We start from the raw sequence: 16955 nt of genomic DNA, 5'->3' as shown, positions 1-16955 counted from the left end.
TGAGGATGGGTGTGTGATAGCAGTGGTGGCTCCGGCTGATATCTGTTGAGGTTGGAGGTGGGGTAATCCATGTGCCAGGTTGAGGGCTGTGTTTACTGGAGCCAATAGTGGAGTTTGCCTCCATTTTTTATTGGTAGAAGGAAGTGCCTCCCTGTCATCTGCCTTTCTTGGCAGCAAAGGTGAGCTAACTCACTGGATATTTGTGAACTTCAAAGCGATGACATAGATCTCAGTCTACTAAATCTCAGTCATAGAGAAGAATTAAGCATTGACCGAGTTAAGGAAAGTTTAAAGCAGTTTCAAGAGTACTCCTTGTCATCCTTCAGGGTCCACTCCTGAAGAGCAAGTTCTTTATTTCTTCACAGGTCTGAAGGGTGAAGTCATGGTGTCAGCTGGACAGTGCTCTGGTTTGAAAGCTCAGTTGGGGCTGGACACAGTGGCTCACGCCTGTAATCCCAGCACTTTGGGAGGCCGAGGCAGGCAGATCACCTGAGGTCAGGAGTTTGAGACCAGACTGACCAACATGGAGAAACCCCATCTCTACTAAAAATACAAAATTAGCCGGGTGTGGTGGCGCATGCCTGTAATCCCAGCTACTCGTGAGGCTGAGGCAAGAGAATCACTTGAACCTGGGAGGCAGAGGTTGCAGTGAGCCGAGATCGTGCCATTGCACTCCAGCCTGGGCAACAAGAATGAAACTCCATCTCAAAAAAAAAAAAAAAAAAAAAAGAAAAGCTCAGTTGGAAGAACCTACTTCCAAATACATTCATGTTATTCATCAACAGAATTCATTTCTGTAGGTTGTAGGACTGAGGTCTCTGTTTTCTTGTTGGCTATTTGCTGGGGCTCGCACTTAGCTTCTAGAGGCTGCTCTCAGATTCTTGCCTCATGGTCCCCTCTATCTCAGCAGAAGAGAGCCTCCCTCAAGGCAAACCTTTCATGCTTTGAATCTCTCTGACTTCCTCTTTTCCTCTTTTGCAACCAGCTGGAGAAAACTGATTAGGAACCTTAATTACATTGCAAATTGCAGTGCAAACTCCTTTTGCCATTTAATCGTCATGAAAATAATACCGGGGGCTGGGATCATGGGGCTCATCTAGAGTTTGCTGCTAGATTGGGAGTTAAAGGAAAGTAGCACTGTCTTACCAATCTGCATCCTAGTTCCTAACACAATGTTTAACAGATAGTAAATATCCAATAAATATCTGTTGAGTGGGGAAGATTGTAGGATGAAAAGGGTAGACAAATAGTTCAAAATTTGTGATCCTGTATGAAGATCAGGAAACCTTGGCATAAAGAGCAAGACAGTCACTCATCGAGATTCTTTTTTTTTTCTTTTTATTATTATTATTATTATACTTTAAGTTCTAGGGTACATGTGCCAACGTGCAGGTTTGTTACATATGTATACATGTGCCATGTTGGTATGCTGCACCCATTAACTCCACGTTTACATTAGGTATATCTCCTAATGCTATCCCTCCCCCTCCCCCACCCCACAACAGGCCCCAGTGTGTGACGTTCCCCTTCTTGTGTCCAAGTGTTCTCATGGTTCATTTCCCACCTATGAGTGAGAACATGGGGTGTCTGGTTTTTTGTCCTTGCGATAGTTTGCTGAGAATGATGGTTTCTAGCTTCATCCACGTCCCTACAAAGGACATGAGCTCATCCTTTTTTATGGCTGCGTAGTATTCCATGGTGTATATGTGCCACATTTTCTTAATCCAGTCTATCATTGATGGACATTTGGGTTGGTTCCAAGTCTTTGCTATTGTGAATAGTGCCACAGTAAACATATGTGTGCATGTGTCTTTATAGCAGCATGATTTATAATACTTTGGGTATATACCCTGTAATGGGATGGCTGGGTCAAATGGTATTTCCAGTTCTAGATCCTTGAGGAATCGCCACACTGACTTCCACAATGGTTGAACTAGTTTACAGTCCCACCAACAGTGTAAAAGTGTTCCTATTTCTCCACAACCTCTCCAGCACCTGTTGTTTCCTGACTTTTTAATGATCACCATTCTAACTGGTGTGAGATGGTATCTCATTGTGGTTTTGATTTGCATTTCTCTGATGTCCAGTGATGATGAGCATTTTTTCATGTGTCTGTTGGCTGCGTAAATGTCTTCTTTTGAGAAGTGTCTGTTCATATCCTTCACCCACTTTTTGATGGGGTTGTTTTTTTCTTGTAAATTTGTTTGAGTTCTTTGTAGATTCTGGATATTAGCCCTTTGTCAGATGAGTAGATTGCAAAAATTTTCTCCCATTCTGTAGGTTGCCTGTTCACTCTGATGGTAGTTTCTTTTGCTGTGCAGAAGCTCTTTAGTTTAATTAGATCCCATTTGTCAATTTTGGCTTTTGTTGCCATTGCTTGTGGTGTTTTAGACATGAAGTCCTTGCCCATGCCTATTTCCTGAATGGTATTGCCTAGGTTTTCTTCTGGGTTTTTTATGGTTTTAGGTCTAACATTTAAGTCTTTAATCCATCTCAAATTAATTTTTGTATAAGGTGTAAGGAAGGGATCCAGTTTCAGCTTTCTACATATGGCTAGCCAGTTTTCCCAGCACCATTTATTAAATAGGGAGTCCTTTCCCTATTTCTTATTTTTGTCAGGTTTGTCAAAGATCAGATGGTTGTAGATGTGTAGTATTATTTCTGAGGGCTCTATTCTGTTCTATTGGTCTATATCTCTGTTTTGGTACCAGTACCATGCTGTTTTGTTACCAGTACCATGCTGTTTTGGTTACTGTAGCCTTTTAGTATAGTCAGGTAGTGTGATGCCTCCAGCTTTGTTCTTTTGGCTTAGGATTGTCTTAGCAATGCAGACTCTTTTTGGGTTCCATATGAACTTTCACCACTCCTGTTCAACATAGTGTTGGAAGCTCTGGCCAGGGCAGTCAGGCAGGAGAAAGAAATAAGGGGTATTCAATTAGGAAAAGAGGAAGTCAAATTATCCCTGTTTGCAGATGTGACATGATTGTATATTTAGAAAACCTCATCGTCTCAGCCCAAAATCTCCTTAAGCTGATAAGCAACTTTAGCAAAGTCTCAGGATACAAAATCAATGTGCAAAAATCACAAGCATTCCTATACTCCAATAACAGACAAACAGAGAGCCAAATCATGAGTGAACTCCCATTCACAATTGCTTCAAAGAGAATAAAATACCTAGGAATCTAACTTACAAGGGATGTGAAGGACCTCTTCAAGGAGAACTACAAACCACTGCTCAATGAAATAAAAGAGGACACAAACAAATGGAAGAACATTCCATGCTTATGGATAGGAAGAATCAATATCGTGAGAATGGTCATACTGCCCAAGGTAATTTATAGATTCAGTGCCATCCCCATCAAGCTACCAATGACTTTCTTCACAGAATTGGAAAAAACTACTCATTGAGATTCTTATGGCAAGGAATTTGTAAACTCCAGTTAGATGACAGCAGGAATACTTGGCAGAAAACACTTGAAAGCTCTAACAGACTGTGTAGAAATGTTATGTTTTAGTTGGGCTAGCTTGCATACTGAACTTTGTCATAGTTTGTTTATCCAGAAAATAAAGCACTTAAAATTCAGACAAGTAGAAAGGCAGATGTAGCTGAAAGAGTAGATCCAGAGGAGCTGATGCAATGTGCACCTGCTAAAATGGAGTTTTATGCAAGATCTGACCTTTCTGAGCAAGTTGAGGGAAATTGTAAATGAACTGGTTTCTGCCTTTACACAAAAAGGCCAGATGAAGAAGAAAAGGTTAAGTGAACTGGGGATCATGCAAGCTGATGACAACCTAATGTCACAAGTGATGTTTGTTGGAATTATGGGGATCCAGTTCAAGTGGAATGAGAAACAGTGTTTTGGCACATTTCTTTTCTGATCACAATGATATTAGATAGCAAAATACTGTATTTTGCACATGCTGCCCCAAGAATCACTGTTGCCGTTGTAGTTTGCTTTATGTCTGTATTTTATATTTGATTATTCTACTGGGCTTGAGTGTAGAATTATTTCTGTTAGCAGGTGTTGCGCATCAAACACTCCTTCTTTATAAGAAAGACTGTAAAAACATATAACAGAAAATATTTGGAGATTTCTTATCTGAAAGCCTTGCTGTCTTAAACATATAGTTCTCTTCTAATAAGCCCATTTGTAACTCTCTAGTGTAATTATACTTTAATCTGGGGCTTCAAAGAGGAGGAAGAAAGGAAGAGAATGCAAGACGAGTGCACCAAATGCAGTGTCACATGTACAGCCTTCTTCTCAGAGTGTCTTCTTATCCCAATTACAGTGAGTCCGATTTCCACCCTAGATTTGCATAATGGTTGTCCTAAAATAAAAGCTTTTATGATTGGAAAGTTATCTGCCTAATCAGACTTACTATTGAGAATCTGAATGGGACGCATTTTCATATTGAACTGTGTAATCACCAAAACAGCAATAGATAGCACAGCAGGTCTGAAAAAGAGATGAAATGTGTCCTTCAGAGCCACCGTGTACATAGAGCATTTTTACTGTTGCTGAATGAGAATGATTAAAAAGAAGGTATTTTTCCTTTATTGTAACAGTATTCTGATCATATTTTTTCACAGTCAAAATGATTACCTATACAACCTGTATCAGCTGTGTGTTTTTGGTGTCATATTGTTGAGACATAGCTTTTAAAAATAAATATTAAAAAAGTATACGTGACATTAATATGCCTAATGATTAAGATTATAGTGATGAAATAATAAAATCAAATCTTGTTATTTTTTCAAACCCATTATGGACCATAGTGCCAGTGTGGCATATGTAATTATCTTAAGAACCCACAGTATTTTATCTTTTTGGTGTTTCAGAAAGAGTATTATTTTTTTTTCCCTAAGTGTGGTTATATTTGTTTCTTAAATTTGAAAAAAAAAAACTCTTATTTTTAAGATGCTACTAAATGTAGAAGGATATATGTTAGATTTATTGTTTGATCATTGAAAGGTTTCTTTTTTACTTCTTTTTAAAAATCCTGTTGCAAAGAGTTTTAAAATGTAATACTGATTAATTCTGCATCAGCTTCAGTCAAATATTGACTTAAAAACCATTTATTCTTTTTTCTTTTTCCCTCTAGATATGATGCCTCAAGATAAAGCCATTTATTCATCTTAAAGAATCATGTTGGTTTTTCAATTGAATTTTCACTTTATCTTGGAGTTTAGATTTTATATATTCTTTTGTACCTTTCTAGAATGTCAAGACAATACACAGATAGGTCAGTGAAGTTAATACCATCCTTGTTCCTGTTTATAGCATGATAGTTTTTCAGAGTTTATTTTGATTTTAGTTTAAATCTAAGCTAATATTAATTTTTATTCACATAATTAGTTATTAGTGAATAGGCCTTATGCGTTCTTGTTTAAGTTACAGAGAGTAGATTTTTTTCTCAGTCATGGGGAGTCACACATCTCAGCACAGTGTAGGGAGTACTGAGAGCACCCTGGAGTGGTATGGATTTGGCATTTTAGATGAAAACACTGATGTGGAAAAAGGATAGTCTTCTGTGTTGATTGAGTTACCCTGTGTCCTGTCCTTCTGGTCTTCCCTTAGTGTAACCTGAATATGGCAGGTAGCAAAATTCTGTATGTTAATTGACTACATTTGAGCTTCACAAGTATCACCTTTCCTAGGTTTCTTGGTCTGTCATTGCAACATAGATGTAAACATGAATATATTTTTAAAAACTGCCCAGAGATCATTTGACCTCAAGTATATCTCCCTTTCCTGGAGTTGTAGAAGGATGTTGAAATATTTATTTTCTGGATTTGGCTTTCCAGAGGGAGATGAAGAAAGTTATATATCAAACACTGATGACCTCATGGGAGCAATACCACTTTTGTTTCTTTATAATTCAGTTTGCTGCTGCTATTTCTTCTCCTTTCTAGGAAAAATATTCCATGGGCTTCTTTGGAAATTAAGGTAAATTTGATGACTGGGCTTTGATGCAAATTTTATGCATGATGTTTTATTTTATTGTGTGATTTTAAAAAATGTGTATAAATAATATTTTTCAAGGTCTTTTATGTGTTAGTGTTAAAATGAATATTCTCCTCTTTTGCCAGCGCTCACTATTAACAGAAAAATGTATATCTTTTAAAAACAACAAACCAGGCATAATATAATAATGCTCTGAAAATTGCTATTGCTGTTTTCCCTTAACACCTTGTGGAAAATTATGTCTGTACATACAGATCCACCTCATCCCTGTGTATTTGTGTTCTACTCCATTGCCAGAATTCTTTCAGTTATAAGTTACAGAAACTCAGCTCAAGCAGGCCTTATGAGGTTTGGTCCTGGAACTAGGAAGTCTGAGGACAAGAGCTGATTTTAGGCATGGTTGGTGGATCCATCTTTTTAGTTCTGCCTTTTCTGGTGTGGCTGTCACTCTCAGGTTGGCTTTGTTCGACGTGGTGCCAAAGATGGCCCCAGTTTTTATGGACTCGGAGAGAGAGACTCCTTTCTTCTAGCATCTGCTTGGGTCATATTTTCCGCTTGTTTTTTGACCACTCACTATACAACCAGAGAAATGAAGTCATCTGTTCCCATTAAATCACATTTCTGTCCTGATAGAGAGTGGGTAGAGCCTCATGAATGATACCTCCCAGGTGATGGAAGGGCAGTTTCTAGGGGAAAGGGGGCGGTTCTGTTGCTAGAAGAAGATGGAAGAACTGCTTTGCAGGCAAAAACATCTATGTCTGCTGTGGATGGATGAGTCATTACTTAACCTATTCCCCAGTATTGATGGGTATTCAAATTTCCAGTTTTTCATTATTACAAATAGATACATAAAAAGGATTCAAAATGCAACACTTTGTGTCTTCTCTAAGATAGTCTATGTTTAGATTATTGGATGAAGACTTTTGGATTGAGGGTTGTGGATTTAAAATTTTGATAGCTTTTGCCAGAGTGTCTTGAACAACAGAGCACTGGTTTATACTCCTACCCACAGTATATGGGAGTGACAGTTTGACATGCTTTCATAACACTGAATATTAATAATTTTAAAAAATGCTTCTCTGATGAATGAAAAAAACATTGTAATTTGTATTTATTTGATTACTGTTATTTGATTTGATTATCTCATCATTTACTATATTTTCACAGGTTTATTTTTCTGAAAATTGCCAGTTCATCTTTTGCCTGTTCTATTGGATTTGAGGTTTTTTTTTTTTTTTAATTATACTTTAAGTTTTAGGGTACATGTGCACAATGTGCAGGTTAGTTACATATGTATACATGTGCCATGCTGGTGTGCTGCACCCACTAACTCATCATCTAGCATTAAGTATATCTCCCAATGCTATCCCTCCCCCCTCCCCCCACCCCACAACAGTCCCCAGAGTGTGATGTTCCCCTTCCTGTGTCCATGTGTTCTCATTGTTCAATTCCCACCTATGAGTGAGAATATGTGGTGTTTGGTTTTTTGTTCTTGCGATAGTTTACTGAGAATGATGATTTCCAATTTCATCCATGTGCCTACAAAGGACATGAACTCATCATTTTTTATGGCTGCATAGTATTCCATGGTGTATATGTGCCACATTTTCTTAATCCAGTCTATCATTGTTGGACATTTGGGTTGGTTGCAAGTCTTTGCTATTGTGAATAATGCCACAATAAACATACGTGTGCATGTGTCTTTATAGCAGCATGATTTATAATCCTTTGGGTATATACCCAGTAATGGGATGGCTGGGTCAAATGGTATTTCTAGTTCTAGATCCCTGAGGAATCGCCACACTGACTTCCACAAAGGTTGAACTAGTTTACAGTCCCACCAACAGTGTAAAAGTGTTCCTATTTCTCCACATCCTCTCCAGCACCTGTTGTTTCCTGACTTTTTAATGATTGCCATTCTAACTGGTGTGAGATGGTATCTCATTGTGGTTTTGATTTGCATTTCTCTGATGGCCAGTGATGGTGAGTATTTTTTCATGTGTTTTTTGGCTGCATAAATGTCTTCTTTTGAGAAGTGTCTGTTCATGTCCTTCGCCCACTTTTTGATGGGGTTGTTTTTTTTCTTATAAATTTGTTGGAGTTCATTGTAGATTCTGGATATTAGCCCTTTGTCAGATGAGTAGGTTGCGAAAATTTTCTCCCATTTTGTAGGTTGCCTGTTCGCTCTGATGGTAGATTCTTTTGCTGTGCAGAAGCTCTTTAGTTTAATTAGATCCCATTTGTCAATTTTGGCTTTTGTTGGCATTGCTTTTGGTGTTTTAGACATGAAGTCCTTGCCCATGCCTATGTCCTGAATGGTAATGCCTAGGTTTTCTTCTGAGGTTTTTATGGTTTTAGGTCTAACATTTAAGTCTTTAATCCATCTTGAATTGATTTTTGTATAAGATGTAAGGAAGGGATCCAGTTTCAGCTTTCTACATATGGCTAGCCAGTTTTCCCAGCACCATTTATTAAATAGGGAATCCTTTCCCCATTGCTTGTTTTTCTCAGGTTTGTCAAAGATCAGATAGTTGTAGATATGCGTCATTATTTCTGAGGGCTCTGTTCTGTTCCATTGATCTATATCTCTGTTTTGGTACCAGTACCATGCTGTTTTGGTTACTGTAGCCTTGTAGTATAGTTTGAAGTCAGGTAGTGTGATGCCTCCAGCTTTGTTCTTTTGGCTTAGGATTGACTTGGCGATGTGGGCTCTTTTTTGGTTCCATATGAACTTTAAAGTAGTTTTTTCCAATTCTGTGAAGAAAGTCATTGGTAGCTTGATGGGGATGGCATTGAATCTATAAATTACCTTGGGCAGTATGGCCATTTTCACAATATTGATTCTTCCTACCCATGAGCATGGAATGTTCTTCCATTTGTTTGTATCCTCTTTTGTTTCCTTGAGCATTGGTTTGTAGTTCTCCTTGAAGAGGTCCTTCACATCCCTTGTAAGTTGGATTCCTAGGTATTTTATTATCTTTGAAGCAATTGTGAATGGGAGCTCACTCATTATTTGGCTCTCTGTTTGTCTGTTGTTGGTGTATAAGAATGCTTGTGATTTTTGTACGTTGATTTTGTATCCTGAGACTTTGCTGAAGTTGCTTATCAGCTTAAGGAGATTTTGGGCTGAGACAATGGGGTTTTCTAGATATAAAATCATGTCATCTGCAAACAGGGACAATTTGACTTCCTCTTTTCCTAATTGAATACCCTTTATTTCCTTGTCCTGCCTAATTGCCCTGGCCAGAACTTCCAACACTATGTTGAATAGGAGTGGTGAGAGAGGGCATCCCTGTCTTGTGCCAGTTTTCAAAAGGAATGCTTCCAGTTTTTGCCCATTCATTATGATATTGGCTGTGGGTTTGTCATAGATAGCTCTTATTATTTTGAAATACGTCCCTTCAATACCTAATTTATTGAGAGTTTTTAGCATGAAGCGTTGTTGAATTTTGTCAAAGGCCTTTTCTGCATCTATTGAGATAATCATGTGGTTTTTGTCTTTGGTTCTGTTTATATGCTGGGTTGCATTTATTGATTTGGGTATATTGAACCAGCCTTGCATCCCAGGGATGAAGCCCACTTGATCATGGTGGATAAGCTTTTCAATGTGCTGCTGGATTCAGTTTGCCAGTATTTTATTGAGGATTTTTGCATCAATGTTCATCAAGGATATTGGTCTAAAATTCTCTTTTTTGGTTGTGTCTGTGCCCGGCTTTGGTATCAGGATGATGCTGGCCTCATAAAATGAGTTAGGCAGGATTCCCTCTTATTCTATTGATTGGAATAGTTTCAGAAGGAATGGTACCAGTTCCTCCTTGTACCTCTGGTAGAATTCGGCTGTGAATCCATCTGGTCCTGGACTCTTTTTGGTTGGTAAGCTATTGATTATTGCCACAATTTCAGCTCCTGTTATTGGTCTATTCAGAGATTCAACTTCTTCCTGGTTTAGTCTTGGGAGAGTGTATGTGTCGAGGAATTTATCCATTTCTTCTCCTGATTTATAGGTATTGTATACAGTGTGGCTTTTAATCGTTTAGTATTTAAACAAATGCATCATATATATATAAGTATATTTATAAGTAACCTATACTCATATTTATAGAAATGTTTATACTTTCATGTATGAAGTATCTTTTGGGCTGTCTGAGCTTGTGAACTTGGTTTACGGTATTTTATTTAAGTTTTAATTGTAGTCAGATCTACTCTTCTGGGTCTTGTGACTTGTTTACATAGGCCTTATCTATCACAAGATTTTAAAAATTTAATATTATCTTCTAGTGACTTTATAATCTTGTTTAAATTTACATTTGTATTCCATCTGTAATTTGATTTTGTGTACTGTATGATATGGAACTGTTTTTCTCTAAATGCCTCAGGAGTTCTCTTGATACTGTCTATTGAAGAGTTGATTCTTTCCCCGTTTACTGGGAATAATACTAAATTCCCATGTGTGCCTACTGTTAACCCTGTGGCCTAAATACTCTCAACCAGTATTTTAGTTAAATGTATATTCTTGTACAAGGACCCAAAGCACTAGCACCCTACCAAATTTGACCAGAAGGACTATTTCCCGGACATCCTGAATTGTAGCAAGTTGTTTTTCCTACTAATGACTAGGGGAAAATGTAGTCTCACTCTTACTCCATTCTTATTTCTAAAGGCTTCCTGGCTATTTTTGTTTTAAATCAGCTTATATCATCTTTTTTGATACAATAAAAATATCACCAATTTTAAATGATTCTCTGGGTCTTGACAAATATATGCAGTTGTGTAACTATGACAATCATAATATTGAATGTTTGTATCACCTCCAAAAGTCCCCTCATTTTCTTTTGCAGGCAAGTTCCTCTGCCCATAGTTCGACCTGGCAACCACTGATGTGCTTTCTGTCACTATAGTTTTGCCTATTCTTGAATTACATAGAAAAGAAATGAGTCAGTATATAGTCTTTGCTGTTGCTCTTACACTTTGCATAATGCCCTTAAGATGAATTCATCTGTTGTTTCTTGTATCAGTAGTTTGTTTCTTTCTATTTATTCATTTACCAGTTGATGGACCACTTGGGTTGTTCATGCTCTTTGATTATCATGGATAAAGTTGCTAAGAATATTTGGGCAACAATTTTTGCCTTAACATATATTTCATTTCTCTTGGGGCAAATACCTATGAGATTGCTGGGCTATATAGTGAGTGCACATTTATTTCATTGTAAAGTTTCAAATTGTTTTCCAAAGTGATTGTCCCATTTTGTAGTCTTACCAGCCATGCCTGAGAGTTCTAGTTGCTCCTCATCTTTGTCAGCACTTGTTATTGTCCGTCTCTTAAATCTTCAGTGTTCTGTGGATGTGTCGTGGTAGTTCATTTTGGTTTTAATTTGGATTTCTCTTATTAATGATGTTTAATATATTTTCATGTGCATATTTGCCTTCTTTTTATATTGTCTCCAAATCAGGTTGTCTTGAGTCATATACATACATACATACATACATACATATATATATATATATATTTTTTTTTTTTTTTTTGGGCGGTGGGAGAAAGCTAGTACTTTATCAAATGTGTGTTTTGCAGATATTTTCCTTCTGTCCGTGGCTTGGTTTTTAATTTTTTTAGCAGTGTCTTTTGAGGAGCAGAAGTTTAAATTTTGATCAAGTCTAATTTATCAATATTTTTTCTGTGGTTTATACTTATGCCTTATCTGAAAAATCTTTTTTCTTTTTCTGACTTCTTTTGGAATGAGAGTTTAAAAATTTTTTTTGAAGAATTCATTTTATTTCTACTATTGGCTTATCAGCTCTACCTTTATTTATTTATTTGTTTATTTTTTTGAGATGGAGTGTCACTGTGTCACCCAGGCTGAAGTACAGTGGCGCAATCTCTGCTCACCGCAACCTCTACCTCCTGGTTTCAAGTGATTCTCCTGCCTCATCATCCCAAGTAGCTGGAACTACAGGCAAGTGCCACCATGCCCAGCTAATTTTTGTATTTTTAGTAGAGACGGAGTTTTACCATGTTGACCAGGCTTGTCTTGAACTCCTGACCTCAGGTGATCCACCCTGCTTGGCCTCCAGAAGTGCTAGGATTACAGGCGTGAGCCACCATGGCTGGCCCAGCTCTACCTCTTTTTTATTTAAAAAAAAAAAAAAATAGATGTACTCTAGTGCAGTAGTTCTCAACTGCAGTCAGATTTCTCTCTCACCCCCAGGACGTTTGTCAGTGTCTGGATACATATTTGAATTTGTCACTACTGGGGGTGGGTGTTCATGGCATCTATTGGGTAGAGGCCAGGAGTCCCACTAAACACCTTACAGTGCACAGGACAACCCCCACAACAAGGGATTATCTGGCTCAAAATGTCAGTAGCACCAAGGTAGAGAAATTTTATTCTAGGACAGGGCTTAGCAACTTTTTTGTAAAGAACCAGGTAGCAAATATTTTAGATTTTGTGTGACGTAGATGCTTTCACGTTTCCTTTCCCTCTCACCTCTTCCAAAATGCAAAAACCATTCTTAGCTTCTGAACTATACAAAAATAACAGGCTGGATTTAGCCTGTGCCAGAGTTTGCTGACCCCGCTTCAGGGTTTACAACATGCACGTACTACCTGCAAATAATATTTTATCCCCTTCTGTGTAAGGTCCATTTCCCACCTATCGTTTGTGCTGTTGTCATACATTGTACTCTTTACATATGTTTATAAACTTCTCAAGATGTTGTTGTTATTTTTGTTTGAAACTATTATCCTTTAAAAAGATTTAAAATTTTTTAATAGTGTTAATATAATGACCACTTCCAGTGCTCTTTTCTCTTTGGTAAAGGCTCAAATTTCTGTTTAGTATCTTATTCATTTCTTTTGCTTAAGTTTTGCTGACAACTGAATTCTCCCAGCTTTAATTTGAAAAATGTCTTTAATTTTGAAAGATGACTTTCGCTGGGTAGGGAATCCTGAATCGACAGTTTATTTCAGTACTTTAAGGATGTTCCTCCACTGTCATTTGGCTCGCATAATTTCTGACAATGCTGCTGTCATGTATCTTTTTCTCTTGGATGTTTTTTCAGATTTTCATTTTATTACTGGTTAACATTTCATTATCGTGTCTTTGTGTGGTTTTCTTCATTTTTATTCTGCAAGGAGTTTATTGTACTTCATCATATGAGTTTATTTCTTCATATTTTTATTCTATTCCACCTTCTCTTTTTTCTACTTCCTTGACTGTAATTGCATGCATGTTACTTCTTTCATTTTATCCCACATGTCACTGGTGCTTTATTCATTCTGTCGTTTTTTTCTTTCTGGATAATGTCTAGTACCATGTTTTCAAGTTTGCTCATCTTTTCCTCTGCACTGTTTACACCACTGTTAATCCCATTCCGTGAATTTTTTATTTCAGACATTGTATTTTTCATTTCTAAATGGTTTTTACTCTCTCTCTTCATCATGATGATGTTTTTCTCTCCTGACCATATTGAATATATTTATAATAGCCATTTTAGTATATTTATTTGCCCTTTTTATTACCTCTCTTGCCTCTGGCTCTGTTTCTATTGATTACTTTTTCTCTTGGATATGGGTCATATTTTTCCATTTCTTTGCTGTCTTTTTTCTGACTGGATGATGAATACGAAGAATTTCATATTATTGCTGTGATTGGTTTTATTTCTTTAAGTAATGTGGCTTCTTTGTGGAGTAGTTATTTGGGATTAGTTGGATCCTTTCAGTGCTTGCTTGTAAGCTTCGTTTGGGCACATGCAGAGCAGTCTTGGGCTAATTTAGGCCCTCCTTTCCTTTTTATTCATTTTTATTGTTATTTATGTTTAAATTTTATTTTTAATTGTGGTTATAAACTCATAAAGTTAAATTTGCCACCTTAACTATTTTTATGTGTACAGTTCAGTAATGTTAGTATATTTACATTGTTGTGCAACAGGTTTCCAGAGCTTCAGCTTGCAGAACTGAAACTCTATGCCCCTTAGACACTAATTCTGTCTCCTCTCAACAATCCCGGCAACCATCTTCCAACCTCTGTTTCTATGATTTTGACTTATTTAGATACCTCATGTGATTCCCCTTTATTTTAAAGAAATCTGTCTGGTCCCTCATGTATTATGTGGTCTTTTCACTCTGGCTGGTAGGAGTGAGATTTTTCCTGCTTATTCCTTTCTGGTGGCTCTTTCCCAGCCTCGAGTATTATCTTCTCACACCATACAGATTGGAACTCAAGTAATCCTTGAGGGGACCGTCTGCAGGTTTCTGGTGCTCTCTGGCTCTGCATTTCCCTCATCTCCTGTGCTCTGCCTTACAAATTCTGGCTGCCTTGTCCTCTGAACTCTGACTCTGTCTCCCTGAATTGGTGAATCAGCTGAGCTTCATTTCCCCTCCCTGTACTAAGGCCTGGAAACTGCCTTCAGGTAGGAAGCTGGTATAATTGTAGAGTTCACCTTTTCTATTTCCCTTCTTACGTATCACAGTCCTGTGTTGCCTGATACCTAATGTCCAGAAAACCATTGCTTCATATATTTTGTCCACTTTTGTAGTTATTTAAGGCAGGAGGGTAAATCTGATAACTGTTACTCAATCTTGACTGAAAGCTGAAGTTGTCTTGAATCTTCAGGATTGGAACCATTTCCAAAGGAAGTGGATGACTCTGTTAGTAGCCAGTGGGTAACCAGGTCAAATTTATAAGAGTTTCTCTGGCTCATTTCTGTATAAATCTTAACTAAAATGGTTGGTGTTTGACCATAGAAACATTTGAGAATATTTAGATAAAGGGGAGTCTGGGTAGAGTGACCTCCCAGGACATTATCTTTTCCAGGTGAACGCATTCACATCCCAGAATCTCAGGCAACCCAGATTCCATTTGTTTACATCAAGTTGTTTTCTGCACTCAGACCTGTTTGTTTTGGTGAGGTCACAGGTGGTTGAAATAAAATCCTCCCTTACTAAAAATCATGTGAGCCCCCCATGCCTGTGCACTTGTGGAGTTCAATTTCTGCTGCCTTCAGGCTAGGAGGGCTGACAACTTTCTCACAGAAATATTGGAAGTATTTTTGGTGCATAGCTCTTTAAAGGCCATTTTGAATAAAACTGAACAATTTAGCAAGCAATTAAAAACTAATTAGAATCTTTGCATTATTTTCAGGGGAAGCATAATGCATTGTAGTTTTTTGTGAGTGTTACTGCAAAATTAAATATCTCTAATTTATAGCTGGCCTTTAGCTAGAGGCAGCTTTGTAGGTGATAGCTGACAATATTTTCCGTTAAGGCTTTTAGGAACTCACATGCCGTTTTACTTTAGATTTCTCAAAACTTTTTGGAAGGTGTTAGGCATACTACCATTGATGTGGCTTCCAATACATTAATAAAGTGCCCCTGCACTTAGCTTTTCTTCAGTGCTCACAAGGTACCAAATGAGCTGAGGGAAGATCAGACACTTTAACACTTTGTGAAGTAATATTAAGCTTTACAGCTTTACAGCACTAGAAATCTATTTAATTCCCTGTCATTGCTTCTAAAATGCATTTTAAATCTGTTGTCATTGGCAGAATGCTCAGAGTCACTGAAGAATTATTTTTGACTTGGTGTTTATATCTAAAATTTTCTAGTGAGACAAATCCTCTCCAGTGCTGGAGGAAATTAACATTTTGGCTTTTCAAGGTAGTATTAGTATTAGGTTAGAACTTACAGTTCCCTGAGGTCTTTCAGTCTTTGGGGCTTAGAAAGGCTAACAACATTTCTTATTCCTTGTTTTTGGATAATGTGTTGGTTACAGTTTTTCTCCAAATCCCATTTTTTTTCTTTTAAATCACTATTTTATTGAGTCAAGTCACTGTAATTCTATATTACATAGATGTTATCTCTTAATTTGAAAAGCAAAATCAACGGCTGTAATTCTTTTTTTAATCAGTGTAAAATGCATATGTCCAGAATGTAATTGACTACTCAGTAATTGGCAGGAGAGGTTTCCACTAGGCTCTGTGAAATGTAATAACTAATTTGCTGATGGCATTATGCTGTGATGAGGGAAGAACAGTATCACCTAAAAGCTTTTCTGGAGGAGGGGCTGATATGAGCTGGTAATGTTAGATGAGTGCAGCGCTTATACTATAAAATTAACTGCATAATGTCATAGGGCAAAAATCTCAGAATATTAAAGCAAATATTGACAATATAAGGCTAAATCATTTTCTCAAAATGTAAATGTTGGTCTACAGGTATTTCTCTGTAGTATTTACTACACCTTGGAGGCTTTACAAAAGAGATCAGGTATGCACATTGGCATATTAATCCTGCAGTAAAAAGGTACATTTAACCCTTTTACTCCCAGAGTTCCCCAAACATAGTTGAACACAAGCCTTTTTTTTTTTTCTTTTCTTTTTTTTTTTTTTCAGATAACACCTGCAGAACTGCTATTCCTTGAAACACTTTTTGAGAAACACTTGGTCATGAGAAATTTTCTTTTTCCTTTTCTGGGCCTAATCTATAAAATGGCCAATGTCTACACCTCACAGGATTGTGAGGATAAAAATGTTTAACACTGTGCAGAGCACATAGGCTTAATAAATGGCAGCTTAAAATTTTTTTTTGAGGAATAATACATGCAATAAAATGCACAAATTTTAAGTAAACAGCTTGATTAACTTATATATATATACACACACCCATGTAACCACCACCCAGATCATGGCATAGAACCTCTCTAGCACACCAAATCTCCCTTGTGTCCCCTTGTAATCAATAGCTCCTAATTATTCTCTCTTCTGTCATATGGAAGAAGTCATACAGATTCTGATTTTCATAAGTCTGGCTTCTTTCACTCAACACTATACCTGAGAAATTCACCTGTGTTGTATTTAATAGTCCAGTCTATAAATGCACAATTATATATCCCTTCTCCTATTGGTGGACATCTGCTTGGTTGCAGTGGGGCTATTATAAATAATGCTGCCATGAACTTATCTCTCACAGTTATATCGCTAGAATTGCTGAGTC

At 37.2% G+C, this 16955-nt stretch overlaps 1 long non-coding RNA gene and 1 pseudogene across 2 annotated transcripts in view; both read left to right on the top strand.

Annotated features, from left to right (window-relative positions):
* The window catches only part of LOC100420587 (SHC binding and spindle associated 1 pseudogene), a 292307-nt pseudogene that overhangs the window by 40745 nt on the left and 234607 nt on the right, over positions 1-16955 (top strand). The window lies entirely within an intron of this gene.
* LOC124904679 (uncharacterized) lies at positions 4041-6165 on the top strand. Its single transcript, XR_007067211.1, has 2 exons — positions 4041-4289; positions 5104-6165. It is a non-coding gene; the product is annotated as an uncharacterized LOC124904679 (long non-coding RNA).

Source organism: Homo sapiens, chromosome 19, assembly GCF_000001405.40.
Source record: "Homo sapiens chromosome 19, GRCh38.p14 Primary Assembly".
In the NCBI taxonomy this organism is placed as follows: domain Eukaryota; kingdom Metazoa; phylum Chordata; class Mammalia; order Primates; family Hominidae; genus Homo; species Homo sapiens.
This window is presented reverse-complemented; position numbering and strand designations above follow the sequence as displayed.